The sequence below is a fragment of the Homo sapiens genome, chromosome 8, assembly GCF_000001405.40.
Source record: "Homo sapiens chromosome 8, GRCh38.p14 Primary Assembly".
NCBI classification, from domain to species: Eukaryota; Metazoa; Chordata; class Mammalia; order Primates; family Hominidae; genus Homo; species Homo sapiens.
This window is the reverse complement of record NC_000008.11, coordinates 131,867,525-131,886,528: the sequence shown is the minus strand read 5'-3', so window position 1 is coordinate 131,886,528 and position 19,004 is coordinate 131,867,525. Positions and strand designations below refer to the sequence as shown.

Below are 19,004 nucleotides of genomic sequence, written 5' to 3'. Positions count from 1 at the left end.
TTATGCCTGGACACACAATGCTGCGTGGATACTCCAGAATGATCAAATGGGGCGGCCTAGAGTCCCGAATGCTCTCCAAGTCTGCCTGCATTTGTTCAGGAACAGAAACACATTCAGCTGTTTCTTAAAGATCTTTGTAGTTCACATCAATCAGCCGTCTTTAAAATTTTACTGAACACCTACTATGGGTGTTATAGATTGAATACTTCTGCCCTCTTCTCCTAAATTTATTTGTTGAAACCCTAACCCCCAAGGTTATGGTATTGGGAAGTGAGACCTTTGGGAAGTGATTAAGACATGAAGGTGGAGCCCTCACGAATAGAATGTGTGTCCTTTTAAAGGAGACCCCAGAGAGATTCCTCATCCCTTCTGTCAGGTGAAGACACAGTGAGAAGAGGACCATCCGTGAACCAGGAAGTGGGCCCTTACCAGACTCTGAATCTTCCAGTATCTTCATCTTGAACCTCCCAGCATCCAGAACTGTGAGAGAGAAATTTTGGTTGTTTATAAGCCACCTAAGTTGTGGTATTTTGTGAGGCAGCCCAGATGTATTAAGACAATGGGCTAGGCATAGTTCAACCAAGTGGAATGAATCTGGCAGCGGTGAGCACAGGGGCTCCTGGACACAGTGGAGTGAGACTTCCCCCTCAACTCTGGCTTGTGAAGGAGGCCTGCCTGTCAGGAAGAGAGTTCTGGAGAAGTTTTAAAGGGTACAAAGTAGTTGTCCAGTGACAACTATGGAAAAGACATTCCAGATAGAGAGAGGAGCATGTGGGAGGAAGCTGAGCTGGGCCAGGATTCATGGCACGGGTGAGAGAATGGCAAAGATGAGGCTGCAGGCTGGGCCTTGCCCAGGCCATGGCATGTTGTGCAGGTTGTCCCAGGAGCTGGATTTTACTTTGAAAACCATGAGAAGCCGAGAAAGCATTTTTACCAGTGAGTCAGTCATGTTCAGATGCACATTTGGGCAGTGTGGCTGATAGGGGACCGGTCAGAAGGCAGTTGGGGGAAATGTGGTGTCATGATGAGGGCTTCAGGGAACAAAGGTAGGGGCAGTGGGGATGGAGAAGATTGACTGGAGGGAGAGGCTGCTGGGGGACATGGACTTGTCCAGCTAATGGACTAGGCATGGAAAAGGTGTATGTGGTGGATGGCGGCCCCGTTCACTGGGGTGAGGACTGAGGTTAGAAGATGATAAAGGCAGAGGGTGGAATTGCCTGTTTCTCCCTGAATGGACCATCATGCAGTGAGGCACGCATGTCCGGAGCTGAAGGAAAGATTTCTGAAGCTGCAGGAGGCTGAGAACACGCAGTAGGTTATAGGAGGAAAGAGGAAAATGTGGGCGGCTCTGAAGGATGCTGACATTTGAAAGGCAGGCAGTGATTCTAAACAAATCGTTCATAACCCTGCATGCATGTTGGGCTCACCTGGATAGCCTTTCCTTTTCGGAAAGTGGGGGTAGCTTTTAAATCATACAATGGTCCAATATTTGAATTCTATTGGTCTGGGCTGAGGATTGAGTATTTGCATTTTAAAAAGCTCTCCCAAGAAATCCTAAAGCACAGCCTATGTAATAAATATAGTGTGAATTATATTTTATTTTGGGGCCAGTCTACTTACATTATTGAGCAGAAATCTGACTCTCTGCCTTATAATAATAAGATGTAATCATATATTCTCATAATAATCACACATATCTCAGAATGACAATGTTCACTTCTTTGTTTCCTCTGCTACACTGTCAACTTTCCAGGGCTGTAGGAGCTGGACCAATTCTTGCTGAACAAATGGAAGAAGAAATGAATGTTCCTATCATCTATGTTCCGGGGAACAGGTGACCATTTAGGAAAGGAGGGCTCTAGAGGAACCTGGAGTACTCTGTTTCTTCTCCCTCCCAAATGAAAATAATAGATTTACAATGTGAGTCTCTGTCCTGTGGCAGGCACTGGTCAAAACACTTTATACAGGTGTTGTATTGATTCTTCACAACACCCCTGTGAGGCAGCAGGAACTGTTATTATTCCCATTTGACAGGTGCACGTCTGATACTTAAAATGGTTAAGTAATTTCCCAGGTATTTTAGTCCTAGTGAGTGCCAGGTGGAAGCGTTTTTGGAAAACCCACACCTTCCCCTTCCCTCAAAACATTACTTAAATGCTCTGCTCCAGGACAGCCACCTGTACTTCTACTGTCCCAGTACCATAACACATGGTATAGTAGTGACCTTTTAAATTACCTGTCTCCTCTGCTGTACTCTCACTTGTGTGAAGGCAGGGACCATGTTTGTATCCTCACTGCTTCATAGCACACTGGGCACAAAGTAAGCGTTACATTTGTAACTGCTAAATGAACAAAGTCTGTTCCCTTAACCATAAGGCATTTCAAGTCTCATCATCTCTGTGTTTTATATGCTCCAGGAATGATATCTAGTTTCCTGCAGACATTCTTATTTGGCTTTATGGAAAGGTCCTTCATCCTTCTGGTTATCTTCCTCTCCCTTCTTTTCCTTTCCCTTTTCTGTCTTCTCCTTATCCTTCCTCTGCACCTCTTTTTCCTCCTCCCTCTCCTCCCCTTTTCCTCCCTCTCTTGTAGTACTACACTTTGCAATGTCCCCCTTAAAGCATAGTGCCCAGCTTCCATTCCAAGATGGCCAAATAGGAACAGCTCCGGTCTGTAGCTCCAAGCATGATTGACACAGAAGATGGGTGATTTCTGCATTTCCAACTGAGGTACCTGGTTCATCTCAATAGGACTGGTTGGACAGTGGGTGCGGCCCACAGAGGGCGAGCTGAAACAGGGTGGGGCATTGCCTCACCTGGAAAGTGCAAAAGGTCGGGGAATTTCCCTTTCCTAGACAAGGGAAGCTGTGACAGACTGCACCTGGAAAATCGGGACACTCCTGCCCAAATACTGTGCTTTTCCAATGGTCTTAGCAAACAGCACACCAGGAGATTATATCCCGTGCATGGCTTGGCAGGTCCCACGCCCATGGAGCCTTGGTCATTGCTAGCGCAGCAGTCTGAGATCGAACTGTGAGGTGGCAGCCTGGCTGGGGGAGGGCTGTCTGCCATTGCTGAGGCATAAGTAGGTAAACAAAGTGGCCAGGGAACCTCGAACTGGGCCGAGCCCACCGCAGCTCAGCAAGGCCTGTTGCCTCTGTACATTCCACCTCTGGGGGCAGGGCATAGCTGAACAAAAGGCAGCAGAAACTTCTGTAGACTTAAACTTCCCTATCTGACAGCCCTGAAGAGAGCAGTGGTTCTCTCAGTATGGTGTTTGAGCTTTGAGAATGGACAGACTGCCTACTTAAGTGGGTTCCTGACCCCTGTGTAGCCTAACTGGGAGACACCTCCCAGTAGGGGCTGATTGACACGTCATACAGGCAGGTGTCCCTCTGGGACAAAGCTTCCAGAGGAAGGATCAGGCAGCAGCAATATTTGCTGTTCTGCAATATTTGCTGTCCTGCAATATTTGCTGTCCTGCAGCATCTGCTGGTGGTACCCAGGCAAACAAGTCTGGATTGGACCTCCAGCGAACCCCAACAGACCTGCAGCTGAGAGACTTGACTGTTAAAAGGGAAACTAACAAACAGAAAGGAATAGCATCAACATCAACAAAAAGGACATCCACACCAAAACCCCATCTGGAGGTCAACAACATCAAAGAGCAAAGGTAGATAAAAACACAAAGATGGGGAGAAACCAGAGCAGAAAACCTAAAAATTCTAAAAACCAGAGTGCCTCTTTTCTTCCAAAGGATCACACTCCTCGCCAGCAATGGAACAAAGCTGGACAGACAATGACTTTGACAAGCTGACAGAAGTAGGCTTCAGAAGGTTGGTAATAACAAACTTCTCCGAGCTAAAGGAGGATGTTTGAACCCACTGCGAGGAAGCTAAAAACCTTGAAAAAAGATTACACAAATGGCTAACTAGAATAAACAGTGTAGAGAAGTTTATTCTCTTAAATTGCCTGATGGAGCTGAAAACCATGGCATGAGAACTACTTGATGCATGCACAAGCTTCAATAGCCAATTTGATCAAGTGGAAGAGAGCGTATTTGTGAATGAAGATCAAATTAATGAAATGAAGCAAGAAGATAAGTTTAGAGAAAAAAGAGTAAAAAGAATGAACAAAGCCTCCAAGAAATATGGGACTATGTGAAAAGACCAAATCTACGTTTGATTGGTGTATTCGAAAGTGACGAGGAGAATGGAACGAAGTTGGAAAACTTGGATATTATCCAGGAGATTATCCAGGAGAACTTCCCCAACCTAGCAAGCCAGGCAAACATTCAAATTTAGGAAATACAGAGAACACCACAAAGATACTCCTGGAGAAGAGCAACCCCAAGACACATAATTCTCAGATTCACCAAGGTTGAAATGAAGGAAAAAATGTTAAGAGCAGCCAGAGAGAAAGGTTGGGTTACCCACAAAGGGAAGCCCATCAGACTAACAGCGGATCTCTTGGCAGAAACTCTACAAGCCAGAAGAGAGTGGGGACCAATATTCAACATTCTTAAAGAAAAGAATTTTCAACCTATAATTTCAATTCCAGCCAAACTAAGCTTCATAGTGAAGGAGAAATAAAATCCTTTACAGACAAATAAATGCTGAGGGATTTTGTCACCACCAGGCCTGCCTTACAAGAGCTCCTGAAGGAAGCACTAAGCATGGAAAGGAACAACCGATACCAGCCACTGCAAAAACATGCCAAATTGTAAACACCATTGATGCTAGGAAGAAACTGCATCAACTAATGGGCAAAATAACCAGCTAACATCATAATGACAGGATCAAATTCACACATAACAATATTAACCTTAAATGTAAATGGGCTAAATGCCCCAATTAAAAGACACAGACTGGCAAATTTGATAAAGAGTCAAGACCCATCAGTGTACTGTATTCAGGAGATCCATCTCACATGCAGAGACACACATAGGCTCAAAATAAAGGGATGGAGGAAGATCTACCAAGCAAATGGAAAACAAAAAAAGCAGGGATTGCAATCCTGGTCTCTGATAAACAAACTTTAAACCAACAAAGATCAAAAGAGACAAAGAAGGCCATTACATAATGGTAAAGGGATCAAGTCAACAAGAAGAACTAACTATCCTAAATATATATGCACCCAATACAGGAGCACCCAGATTCATAAAGCAAGTCCTTAGAGATCTACAAAGAGACTTAGACTCCCACACAATAATAATGGGAGATTTTAACACCCCACTGTCAGTATTAGACAGATCAATGAGACAGAAGGTTAACAAGGATATCCAGGACTTGAACTCAGCTCTGCACCAAGCAGACCTAATAGACGTCTGCAGAACTCTCCACCCCCAATCAACAGAATATACATTCTTCTCATCACCACATCGCACTTATTCCAAAATTGACCACATAGTTGGAAGTAAAGCACTGCTCAGCAAATGTAAAATAATGGAAATCACAACAAACTGTTTTTTAGACCACAGTGCAATCAAATTAGAATTCAGGATTAAGAAACTCACTCAAAACTGCACTACTACGTGGAAACTGAACAAGCTGCTCCTGAACGACTACTGGGTAAATAGCAAAATGAAGGGAGAAATAAAGATGTTCTTTGAAACCAACAAGAACAAAGACACAACGTACCAGAATCTCTGGGACACATTTAAAACAGTGTATAGAGGGAAATTTATAGCACTAAATGCCCACAAGAGAAAGCAGGAAAGATCTAAAATCGACACCCTAACATCACAATTAAAAGAACTAGAGAAGCAAGAGCAAACAAATTCAAAAGGTAGCAGAAGGCAAGAAATAACTAAGATCAGAGCAGAACTGAAGGAGATAGAGACACAAAAAACCCTTCAAAAAAATCAGTGAATCCAGGAGCTGGTTTTTTGAAAAGATCAACACAATTGATAGAACACTAGCAAGACTAATAAAGAAGAATAGACAGAAGAATCAAATAGATGCAATAAAAAATGATAAAGGGGATATCACCACCAATCTCACAGAAATATAAACTACCATCAGAGAATACTATAAACACCTCTACACAAATAAACTAGAAAATCTAGAAGAAATAGATAAATTCCTGGACATGTACACCCTCCCAAGACTAAACCAGGAATAAATTGAATCTCTGAATAGACTAATAACAGGCTCTGAAATTGAGGCAATAATTAATAGCTTACCAACCAAAAAAAGTTTAGGACCAGACGGATTCACAGCTGAATTCTACAAGAGGTACAAAGAGGAGTTGGTACCATTCCTTCTGAAACTATTCCAGTCAACAGAAAAAGAGGGAATCCTCCCTAACTCATTTTATGAGGCCAGTATCATCCTAATACCAAAGCCTGGCACAGACACAACAAGGAAAGAGAATTTTAGACCAATATCCCTGATGAACATTGATGCGAAAATCCTCAATAAAATACTGGCAAACCGAATCCAGCGGCACACCAAAAAGGTTATCCACCACGATCAAGTCTGCTTTATCCCTGGAATGCAAGGCTGGTTCAACATGTGCAAATCAATAAACGTAATCCATCACAGAACTGTCGACAAAAACCACATGATTATTTCAAAAGATGCAGAAAAGGCCTTTGACAAAATTCAACAGCCCTTCATGCTAAAAACTCTCAATAAACTAGGTATTGATGGAACATATCTCAAAATAATAAGAGCTATTTATGACAAACCCACAGCCAATATCATACTGAATGGGCAAAAACTGGAAGCATTCCTTTTGAAAACTGCCACAAGACAGGGATGCCCTCTCTTACCACTCCTATTCAACATAGTGTTGGAAGTTCTGGCCACGGCAATCAGGCAAGAGAAATAAATAAAGGGTATTCAATTAGGAAAAGAAGAAGTCAAATTGTCCCTTTTTGCTGATGACATGATTGTACATTTAGAAAACCTCATCATCTCAGCCCAAAATCTCCTTAAGCTGATAAGCAACTTCAGCAAAGTCTCAGGATACAAAATCAATGTGCAAAAATCACAAGCATTCCTATACACCAATAACAGACAAACGGAGAGCCAAATCATGAGTGAATTCCCATTCACAATTCCTACAAAGAGAATAAAATACCCAGGAATCCAACTTACAAGGGAGGTGAAGGACCTCTTCAAGGAGAACTACAAACCACTGCTCAATGAAATAAAAGAGGACACAAACATATGGAAGAACATTCCATGGTCATGGATAGGAAGAATCAGTATCATGAAAATGGCCATACTGCCTAAGGTGATTTATAGATTCAACGCCATCCCCATCAAGCTACCAATGACTTTCTTCATAGAATTGGAAAAAACTACTTTAAAGTTCATATGGAACCAGAAAAGAGCCTGCATTGCCAAGTGAATCCTAAGGAAAAAGAACAAAGCTGGAGGCGTCATGCTACCTGACTTCAAACTATACTACAAGTCTACAGTAACCAAAACAGTATGGTACTGGTACCAAAACAGAGATATAGACCAATGGAACAGAACAGAGGCCTCAGAAATAACACCACACATCTACAACTATCTGATCTTTGACAAACCTGACAAAAACAAGAAATGGGGAAAGGATTCCCTATTTAATAAATGGTGCTGGGAAAACTAGCTACTCATATATAGAAAGCTGAAACTGGATCCCTTCCTTACACCTTATACAAAAATTAATTCAAGATGGATTAAAGACTTAAATGTTAGACCTAAAACCATAAAAACTCTAGAAGAAAACCTAGGCAAAACCATTCAGGACATAAGCATGGGCAAGGACTTCATGACTAAAACACCAAAAACAATGGCAACAAAAGCCAAAATAGACAAATGGGATCTAATTAAACTAAAGAGCTTCTGCACAGCAAAGACAACTACCATCAGAGTGAAAAGGCAACCTACAGAATGGGAGAAAATTTTTTCAATCTACCCATCTGTCAAAGGGCTGATATCAAGAATCTACAAAGAACTTAAACAAATTTACAAGAAAAAAAAAAAACAAAAAACCCCATCAAAAAGTGGGCAAAGGATATGAACAGACACTTCTCAAAAGAAGACATTTATGCAGCCAAAAAACACATGAAAAAATGCTCATTATCACTGGTCATCAGAAAAATGCAAATCAAAACCACAATGAGATACAATCTCACACCAGTTAGAATGGCAATTGTTAAAAAGTCAGGAAACAACTGATGCTGGAGAGGATGTGGAGAAGTAGGAACACTTTTACACTGTTGGTGGGAGTGTAAATTAGTTTAACCATTGTGGAAGACAGTGTGGCAATTCCTCAAGGATATAGAGCTAGAAATACCATTTGACCCAGCGCTCCCATTACTGGGTATACACCAAAAGGATTGTAAATCATGCTACTATAAAGACACATGCACACGTATGTTTATTGCGGCACTATTCACAATAGCAAAGACTTGGAACCAACCCAAATTTCCATCAATGATAGACTGGATTAATAAAATGTGGCACATATACACCATGGAATACTATGCAGCCATTAAAAAGGATGAGTTCATGTCCTTTGCAGGGACATGGATGAAGCTGGAAACCATAATTCTGAGCAAACTATTGCAAGCACAGAAAACAAAACACCACATGTTCTCACTCATACGTGGGAATTGAACAATTAGAACACTTGGTCACAGGGAGGGGAACATCACACACTGGGGCCTGTCCTGGTGTGGGGGGCAGGGGGAGGGATAGCACTGGGAGAAATACCTAATGTAAATGACGGGTTGATGGGTGCAGGGGCCAGCATGGCACATGTATACTTATGTAACGAGCCTGCACGTTGTGCACATGTACCCTGGAACTTAAAGTATAATTAAAAAAAAAAAGCATAGTGCACAATGCAGAATGCATTGCTCCCATTTGTTATCCTGGACATGGCAATACTGAAAGGCAAAATTGATTCAGTGCTTTACAAGGAGCCAGACACAATGCTATGGCTATTACCTAAGTGCTTATCATTTTTAGGCTTTCTGTCAACTCTGGGAGATACATACTAACATTTTGTCTTGTTTCAGATAAGGTTGCTGACACTGTGAATGAATTCTCCCTGACCTCACTTGCTCATCTTACTTTTCTAAATTGCTCAAGTACTTTTTACTCCCTGTCATGAGGTCATTTTCCGAAGCTGCATGGATAACGGAGGTAAGTCAGAGATTGCAGCAAGCCAGACATGAGGTAGTTGCCTGGAATAGACTTTGCAGTCTGGTTTTCATTCAATATATTTCCTTTACAACAATCTTTTCTCTGTAAATGGCTGGTCGGCTGATTCCTGTCACGTGCAGCTTTTAAAAATGGTCGTGAGGAAGGATGGGAAATTGATGCTTTGAGCCCATGCTTCCAGAGCATCTCAGTTGAGGAGTAATCACATTAGGAAAGATCCAGATCAGCTAAGGAAAGCAGCTTTAAATTTCCAAAGTTCAATTTAAATCTCAACTAAAAGGCATCTGCCAATCCTGAAAAAGCATGAAGATTATGTCTGAATTGCTTTCATCTTCAAACCTTCGGAGTCAGTAATCTGTCAGGGGAATGGGAAAGTCAAACTGCAGGAGACAATATGCATCTGCAGAAACATAATCCAATGATTGTTACATGCACAAGCTGACGCTCCAGAGAAAGGGAACAATGAATCCCTCCAGATAGCATTTTTTTTTGTGCCTACTCATTTCATTTCAGTCTTTACAGTGTTCAGTGGATGCTTATGAAAAAGGTCCCTATGGTGAAGAAATAGGGAGCTTTTCATTATACCGTTAAAATGGAAGAAAGGTGGGCACAGAAGCCCAAAATCGTGTCCCCTGAAATGAGCATAAGCGTTGAAATGCCCAATGAACCAAGGGAAGAGCTTGAAAATGGTTTTGAAAATGCCTTGGCACTTTCTAAACACAATTTCCTGTGTATTGGCTTTAAACTGTAGGAAAATTATTTGCAGAGTGTGTAAACAAACAGAAGCAAATGCTTTGTAGAGGCAGTTGTTAGATAAAAATATTCTGTTCAACTGACAAGCATTGCATCCAACTTGTTTTTATTTTGTTTAAATCCCAATCTGTCCAAAAAGAGATGTAAGCAAAAAAAAAAAAAATTATTAGCAACTACTCTGTAAAGAAAATAACACCAGTTTCAATGGGGGAATTCAGAGGTGGAAAGCACTCTCATTTCTCAGGATACTTTTCACCAAGGAGAGGAAAGTTTATATGTATCAGCCAGAGTTCTTAATTGCAAGAACGAGTCATTTGTTTTGGTTATCTCTTGCTGTGTAATAAGTGACCTCAAAACATAGTGGCCTAAAACAATAATTGGTTGTTATCTTTCATGGTTCTATGATTGACTGGGTTCAGCTGGGCATTTCTGGCTTGCAGGGTCTCACATAGCTGCAGTCAGATGTGGGCTGGGGCTGCAGTCAGATGTGGGCTGGGGCTGCAGTCATCTGAGGGCTCACGGGACTGGATGTCAGGACTGCTCACTCCATGGCTGACAGTTGATACTGGCTGTCATCTGGGACCTCCACTGGGGCTGACACAGGGCATCTACTTTTGGGGAAGCATAATTTAAAACAAATTTATTTTCCCAACACAGAAAATCTGTCCACAAAAGTAGTAGATAAATAAAAGTTTTATTATTGAATAAACATTAAACCAGAATACAATGCACATCACAGGCAGTCCACTAAGACACTGCAAAGACGGAAAAAACATCTCACCCTTTTATATAGCCAAGCAAATATCACCCATTGCATGCTTGTTTTCAAGATAAACAATAACTAGCCATCAAGTAAGACGACTTGACAGTACCATATGTCATATTTAGTTCATCCTGACTTTACCTGGTAATCGGGCGACCATTTGTGGTAGCTAACTTCTTATATCTCTGTAATAGGAGGTGTTTTGCAACTTGGATCAAGATACCCACCAAAGTTAGATTACTATTCTCTCACAGAAATTGGGAGGTAGGGGTGCTGTCTCCCTTGATGTTCCATTTCAAAGAGATGGCTCCCAGTCCCTAGAGGAAGGTATTACTGGATCATACTGCTGAGAAAAGGCCTACCTAGTCTTTAAAACAATTTATCTAGAAAAAAGGACTTATCCCCTCAAAGAAGGAGAAAGTATTTAAAATGACAGGTTTTTCCAAAGGAAATGCTATGAAAAGATGGGGAGGGAAATTTATTCCCTTATTTTCAATAGGGAGAATTAAGCCTCTTACTTTTAATTTGCATTTGTCCTGACATTATACATAGTTTCTCCATGTGGCTTGTTTCTCTTTTTCATTAGTTTTATTTTATTTTAATTGATGCATAATAATTCTATGTATTTATAGAGTACAATGTGATGTTTTGATAAATGTATCAATTGTGGAATGATTACATCAAGTAAATTAGCATGCCCATCACCTCAAATATTTATCATTTCTTTGTGGTGAGAACATTTAAATCCTCTCTTTTAGCTATTTTGAATTATACATTATTACTATAGTCACCATGCTGTGTAGTGAAACACTAGAATTTATTCCTCCTTTTGATCTGAAACTTTGTACTAGTTGAGTAACTTCTCCTTTCTCCCTGTTCACCTCACTTTCCCAGCTTTTGATATCAAAAAGAGGAAAGATAACAAGTGATGTAGAGAAAAGGGAATCCTTGTAGGATGTTGATGATATTACAAATTAGTACAGCTATTTTGGAAAACAGTATGTAGGTTCCTCAAAAAACTAAAACTAAAACTACCACATGATCCAGCAATCCCATTTCTGGGTCTCTACCCAAAGGGATTGAAATCTGTGTGTTGAAAATATTTCTGCATCCATGTTCATTGCAGCATTATTCACAATAGTCAAGATATGGAAACAACGTAAGTGTCCATCAATGGACGAGTGATTTTTTAAATGTAATATGTATGCACAATAGCATACTATTCAGCCTTTAAAATGAGAAATTATGTCCTTTTTAACAACATAGATGAACCTAGAGGACATTACACTAGTGAAATAAGCCAGGCACAGAGAGACAAATATCTTTTATGATCACACTTACATATGGAATCTAAAAAATTCCAACTCCTAGGAGGAGGGAGTGGGATGGTGGCTTGAGTTTCTGACAGCATGGCAGCTGGGTTCCAAATGAGAGCTTCCAAAGAGCCGTCATTTCAAGGAGCACAGGCGGAAGCTTAAGATTACCTATGACTCAGTCACGAAAGGCACAGCATCACTGCACTACATTCAGCTGTGAGTGCATCCCAGGGCCAACCCAGATTCAAGAGGAGGGTTCAGCACAAGGTTGCGGATACTGGGAGGTAAGGCTCACAGAGGGCCATCTTTGGAGATCAGTTATCATACCCTTCTAGTATCCTTGAGCAGAAAAGAAATGTATTACAGTAACAAGTAACTTAGGAACTCCCAAGGAAATCAAAAGAATCAGGTTTGAAAGCTTCATTTTCAAGAATTATTCCCTAAAACACAATGCAAGGCTGATACAGTAGACCTCATTGATGTCAAGCCTGGACATGGACACAGGATGCTAGCCTCTGTACGCTTGAACCTCTGCTACTTCACTCCCAGACCTCTGGGAAAAGGAATTCTATGTCCTGGTGGCTGCCTCCCATTGTTCACTTTTGAATAGACATCTTGAACCAGTGCGTCTATTGGTAGAACCTATTGGTGGACTCACATAGCCAAGTATTCACTAAGAATAGTTTGCGAAAATGAGATTCTGATTTGTTCCTTGGGCTGATGGTGTTTACGTAAGGTGTTTGCCCAGTTACCCACATCAGATTCTTGGGAATCTTCAATCCCTATCTTCTGTTGCCACATCCAGTCTTATGATCAAATCATATCAACTCTATTGAAAATAAAAGCTTTGATGTAGTCATAAAAATAAAACATAAAATTAAATAAATAAAATAAAATAAATCTCTGGAAATCATCCATCTTTCTCATCCCAACTTCAAAAATCTTTATGCCTACATAGATGAAATGAAACTACTAAGACGGTAGAATTTGATTTTTAATTTTTTTCATAATTTGCTAATTTGTTCTATTTTTTCAACAACTAAAAGTAGAAAAAAGCTATTTGCCTTCTCGTGGGTCTATTTAATTTACTGAACTTTAGAAAACCCTTCTTTGCTTCAACCCCATTGGTTGAAAAAGGGATGTAGGTCACATGTCCTCTGAAATTCTTTCCCACTGTATCAATGAGAGGATTTATTTATTTTTTAATACCAAAGAAGATGGGAAAAAAAATGTCTGCATTCCTATAGACTGGAGTGATCTTGAGCTCTTGCACACAGATTTAGTGTGTTGACCAAGCACCTAATCCCTTTTCACAGAGATTGCAACTGCATGCCCTTCCACTCCACCATCTGAGACCAGGCCTTTCTTGTGCCTTGCAGTAAATCAGTATTGTCAGAATTTCTGATTATCATAACCTCCCAAAGTAGAAGCTCATTATTCTCTTCCCATTCCAGGCTTAACAAAGTTGGGTCTAATTAAAACCTTACAGGACTCTCCGTATTAGGGATTTTTAAAAAATTTTTTATTATTATTTTTTATTTTATTATTATTATACTTTAAGTTTTAGGGTACATGTGCACAATGTGCAGGTTAGTTACATATGTATACATGTGCCATGCTGGTGTGCTGCACCCATTAACTCGTCATTTAGCATTAGGTATATCTCCTAATGCTATCCCTCCCCCCTCCCCCCACCCCACAACAGTCCCCAGAATGTGATGTTCCCCTTCCTGTGTCCGTGTGTTCTCATCGTTCAATTTCCACCTATGAGTGAGAACATGCAGTGTTTGGTTTTTTTGTCCTTGTGATAGTTTGCTGAGAATGATGGTTTCCAATTTCATCCATGTCCCTACAAAGGACATGAACTCATCCTTTTTTATGGCTGCATAGTATTCCATGGTGTATATGTGCCACATTTTCTTAATCCAGTCTATCATTGTTGGACATTTGGGTTGGTTCCAAGTCTTTGCTATTGTGAATAGTGCCACAATAAACATACGTGTGCATGTGTCTTTATAGCAGCATGATTTATAGTCTTTTGGGTATATACTCAGTAATGGGATGGCTGGGTCAAATGGTATTTCTAGTTCTAGATCCCTGAGGAATCACCACACTGACTTCCACAGTGGTAGAACTAGCTTACAGTCCCACCAACAGTGTAAAAGTGTTCCTATTTCTCCACATCCTCTCCAGCACCTGTTGTTTCCTGACTTTTTAATGATTGCCATTCTAACTGGTGTGAGATGGTATCTCATTGTGGTTTTGATTTGCATTTCTCTGATGGCCAGTGATGGTGAGCATTTTTTCATGTGTTTTTTGGCTGCATAAATGTCTTCTTTTGAGAAGTGTCTGTTCATGTCCTTCGCCCACTTGTTGATGGGGTTGTTTGTTTTTTTCTTGTAAATTTGTTTGAGTTCATTGTAGATTCTGGATATTAGCCCTTTGTCAGATGAGTAGGTTGCGAAAATTTTCTCCCATTTTGTAGGTTGCCTGTTCACTCTGATGGTAGTTTCTTTTGCTGTGCAGAAGCTCTTTAGTTTAATTAGATCCCATTTGTCAATTTTGGCTTTTGTTGCCATTGCTTTTGGTGTTTTAGACGTGAAGTCCTTGCCCATGCCTATGTCCTGAATGGTAATGCCTAGGTTTTCTTCTAGGGTTTTTATGGTTTTAGGTCTAACGTTTAAGTCTTTAATCCATCTTGAATTGATTTTTGTATAAGGTGTAAGGAAGGGATCCAGTTTCAGCTTTCTACATATGGCTAGCCAGTTTTCCCAGCACCATTTATTAAATAGGGAATCCTTTCCCCATTGCTTGTTTTTCTCAGGTTTGTCAAAGATCAGATAGTTGTAGATATGTGGTGTTATTTCTGAGGGCTCTGTTCTGTTCCATTGATCTATATCTGTGTTTTGGTACCAGTAGCATGCTGTTTTGGTTACTGTAGCCTTGTAGTATAGTTTGAAGTCAGGTAGCATGATACCTCCAGCTTTGTTCTTTTGGCTTAGGATTGACTTGGCGATGCAGGCTCTTTTTTGGTTCCATATGAACTTTAAAGTAGTTTTTTCCAATTCTGTGAAGAAAGTCATTGGTAGCTTGATGGGGATGGCATTGAATCTACAAATTACCTTGGGCAGTATGGCCATTTTCACGATATTGATTCTTCCTACCCATGAGCATGGAATGTTCTTCCATTTCTTTGTATCCTCTTTTATTTCATTGAGCAGTGGTTTGTAGTTCTCCTTGAAGAGGTCCTTCATGTCCCTTGTAAGTTGGATTCCTAGGTATTTTATTCTCTTTGAAGCAATTGTGAATGGGAGTTCATAAGTAGATTTTAGCTGCTCTTGTCACACAAAAAGAACTATGTGAGATGATAGATATGTTAATCAGCTTCATTATTGTCATCATTTTACTATCTTTATGTATCCCATAACATCATTTTGGAAACCTCAAATATATACAGTAAAATTCTTTTAAAAAATCCTTACAGGAAATAAAGGAAGGCTTTAGCAATTTTTGTTTTTTCTTGCTTGTTACTGTTTTCCTTCTTGCAGTTTTTAGTACATATTACAGCTTTTTTTGTATTCTTCAAAATACAGCTTGCATATTTTATAAGATCTGGTTAGACTATTAAAAAGATGTTGAAAATCTTTTACTGCCCTAGTGTACTGCAAAAAGTTAGACAACAAAATATCTTTCAATGATTCACTGAAAGTCACTGAACTCAATGGGAGCATCTTTGTAGAGTACAAAGGCCTAAGGGCATCTTTGTCATCAACATGTTCTCTCCTATATGGGAATAATAAGGAAGAAAACAACAACAATAAGGGTAGAACTCCAGAGCATTTTTACTCTTAAGAATACCTCAAAGGATACTCTTGAAGACGCGTCTCCAAGCCATGCACAAAAATATTTTTAGGCTGTTTATATATTTGTAGATCTCATTGTAATATTATTACACTATAAAAAACACAAATGAAATTTCACCATGGTTTAACAATAAAAACCTCCAAGAATTTAGTAAAAAGAATAAAGAGGATCTGCTGAGTATATAGTTGGGATTTCAGGGATGGTTTTAAGAATGTTTCTTTCTGTTCTCCTAAGGAAGACTGGGTAGTGGGGGTAAAGTTGGCGGGAAGAAGGTGTATATCATCCAGAAGTGGTATCAGTTGCTTATAGTACAAGTTAGGATTTTAAATATTCATAATAGTTAAGTAATTTTCCAGAAAATATGTTCAGGATTTTAATATGTCAAGTAATATAACCAAGTAATCAAGTAATTTTTCAGAAAAGCATATTGCTGGGAATTCATGGATGGTTACTTCTGGTTCGGGCTGGTCAGTTCTTTTCAGCAAAATGTATTTTACATTTTCTCTTTGACAAATATGTATTCAAAACCAATTATAACTTGGTGCAAAAGCAGTTGAGGTTTTTGCCATTAAAAGTAAACTTTAATTAACCAATCTAATATGTTCTAGACACTGATCTAGGCACTGGAGTTGCAGGAGTAAAGAAAAACAGACATGGTCTCTCCCCTCAAGGAGCTCACAGTTTAGAAGAGAAAGATAATAGATACTAAAATAGAATAAGGTAATTTCAAATACTAAGTGCCATAGTAAAAAAAAAATCACATGGTGTACTCATCTGTAAATGGTTGTTTCACTACCTTCTTAAGTGAGGTAATATATATGAAACATTGAGACATAGTATATGAATAATTAATTACACACAGTGAATGTGCCATCAATGCACACACACACATACTTTGTAATAATCAAATTACCTTAGCATGAGGTTGAAGCAAAAAGTGGATGAAGTATAACATTTGTGCAATTCACTTTTTCTGACAAAATACAAATACTCTTATTTGTTAAGAATCTGCTACAAAAGAATAAATGGAAGCATCAGAAATAGCCATTGACCCCCTGCATGAAAATGCTGTCTTCATTACTTTCTTCACTCATGAGGGGACTGCAAAAAGTTAGACAACAAATGTCTTTCAATGATTCGCTAAAAGTCGTTGAACTCGATGGGAGCATCTTTGTAGAGTACAAAGGCCTAAGGGCATCTTTGACATCAATATGTTCTCACCTGTGTGTTTAGCTCCTTGACCATGGGCCCAAGAAATTCACTGTTACCCTTGTCTATCGCCACCTGAGGAAGACAGGGATCTTCTATAGCACATTTACTACTAAGTGCCAAGCACTATGCTAGGCATTTTGTGAGCATGCTTTTAGTTAATCCTAGGAAGAATCTCCTGAGGTTGGAATATTAACCTTCTTTTACAGAGGAGAATCTGGAGGCTCAGGAGAGGGAGGCAAATTGCTTCAGGCCACTCAGATAGTGCACGCTGGGTCTGGGGCTGGCGCCTGGGTATGTCTAACTGCAAAGCCAGTTGCTTTGCCAGGGCCAATGGTACAGCACTGCCAAAAAGAACATCTGGAGCAAGAGCACCGGGCTCTGGCAAGATGCCTGAATGCCCTACAAATGGAATAGATGTTTATCATCTTATTGATTTAAGCTTCTTAAACCTGGCATATGGTTATCAATATGGCTAGCAGGATTTTGAAAGGTACAATAGGCACTAGAATGATCCCAGTCCCTCCACACCTTTGGAAAACATGTTTCATTAGGGTGGTTGTAAGGCAGTTGTAGTGGAAAGAAGATTGGCCTTGAAGCCTGATGTCTGTGGATTTGCAATCTAGTTTACTGTTTCTTGCTGAGTGAAATTTTCACACTCTTAATTTGAGGTTCAGTTTGCTTTTCTGTAAATGGAATTTTGAATGCCTGCCTCCAGAAATGGCTATGAAAATGAACAGTATTGTCCATAAATCACCAATTTCTTCATTTTCTGTATATCTATTCAGAACCTAGTATATGACAGACATTTTTCAAGGGGCTGGGATACAAAAATGAAAACAAATTTCTGTCCTCAGGGAGCCAATGTTCTAGGGGGAAGGCAGCTAATAAATGAATGAATGAAATGCATAGTGAGTTAGGTGGTGGGGAGTGCTATGGAGAAAAAGTAAGAAAGGGACAAGGTCCTGAGGTCAGGGGTGGTTTCAGTTTTAATTTGAAGGATGAGGGAAAGCCTCATAAGAAGGAGACATTTAAGCAAAGCTTTGGAGCTGAGAGTGTGAGCCAAGTGAATATCTGTGGGAAAATTCCAGAGCAGAGGAAATTGCAATAGAAAACCCTCAAGGCAGAGTGTCCATGTATACTCTGGAGTGGCAGAGAGGCCGGGTAGCTGGAGAAGAGTGAGCAAAGGGAGGAGTAGGAAGAGATGCAGTTAGAGGGTGACCAAGGGCCACGAGGCACAAGGCCTGGTAGGCCACTGTGATAACAGGTTGATTATGAATGAGATTGGAGGCTAGTGTGGACATTAGGATGGAAGAGTGATGTGATCTGATCTGTTCTATCACAGTATCAGCCATATAGCAGGTGCTTGGTGAATGGTCACTCTTTTATATTAAGCTCTTTAAAAAAAAGTATTGTTTGTATTCAGTCAACCAGGTATTTTGAATCAGAGCCAAATGCTCATGACTGGAGAAGGGGTGAGCTGTAGGGAGAATTTGGAGGTCAGAGTAGAGTTCACATATAAGGCAGAATGCAAAGGCAGGAATCAGAGTTAACAGAGGCAAAAGCCCTAGCATGGTGTCAGTCAATTCAGGTTGCTATAACAAAGTACCATAGACAGGGTGGCTACAAACAACAGGAATTTATTTCAGACACTTCTGGAGTCTAGACATCCCTGATGAGGGTGCCAGCATTGTGGGGTTCTCTGAGGGCCATCTTCCAGGTTGCAGAGTACTGACTTTTTGTAGTATCCTCATAAGGTATAAAGAGAGCAAAACAGCCCTCCAGGGTCCCTTTTATACCATTCATGAGGACCCCACTCTCATGATTTAATTACCTCCAAAAGGGGTCTCCTCCTAATACCATCACACTAGAGGGTAGGATTTCAACATATGAACTTTAGAGGTACACAACCATCCAGTTCATTGCATATAGTCCC

General features: G+C 40.2%; 1 long non-coding RNA gene across 1 annotated transcript in view; it reads left to right on the top strand.

The window, feature by feature from the left end:
• Positions 1-1,092: 1,092 nt before the first annotated feature.
• Positions 1,093-19,004, top strand: part of LOC107986976 (uncharacterized) — a 41,866-nt gene continuing 23,954 nt past the window's right edge. The window contains exons 1-2 of the long non-coding RNA XR_001746093.2: positions 1,093-1,834; positions 9,019-9,145. This is a non-coding gene — a long non-coding RNA (uncharacterized LOC107986976). The remainder of the gene's footprint in view (positions 1,835-9,018; positions 9,146-19,004) is intronic.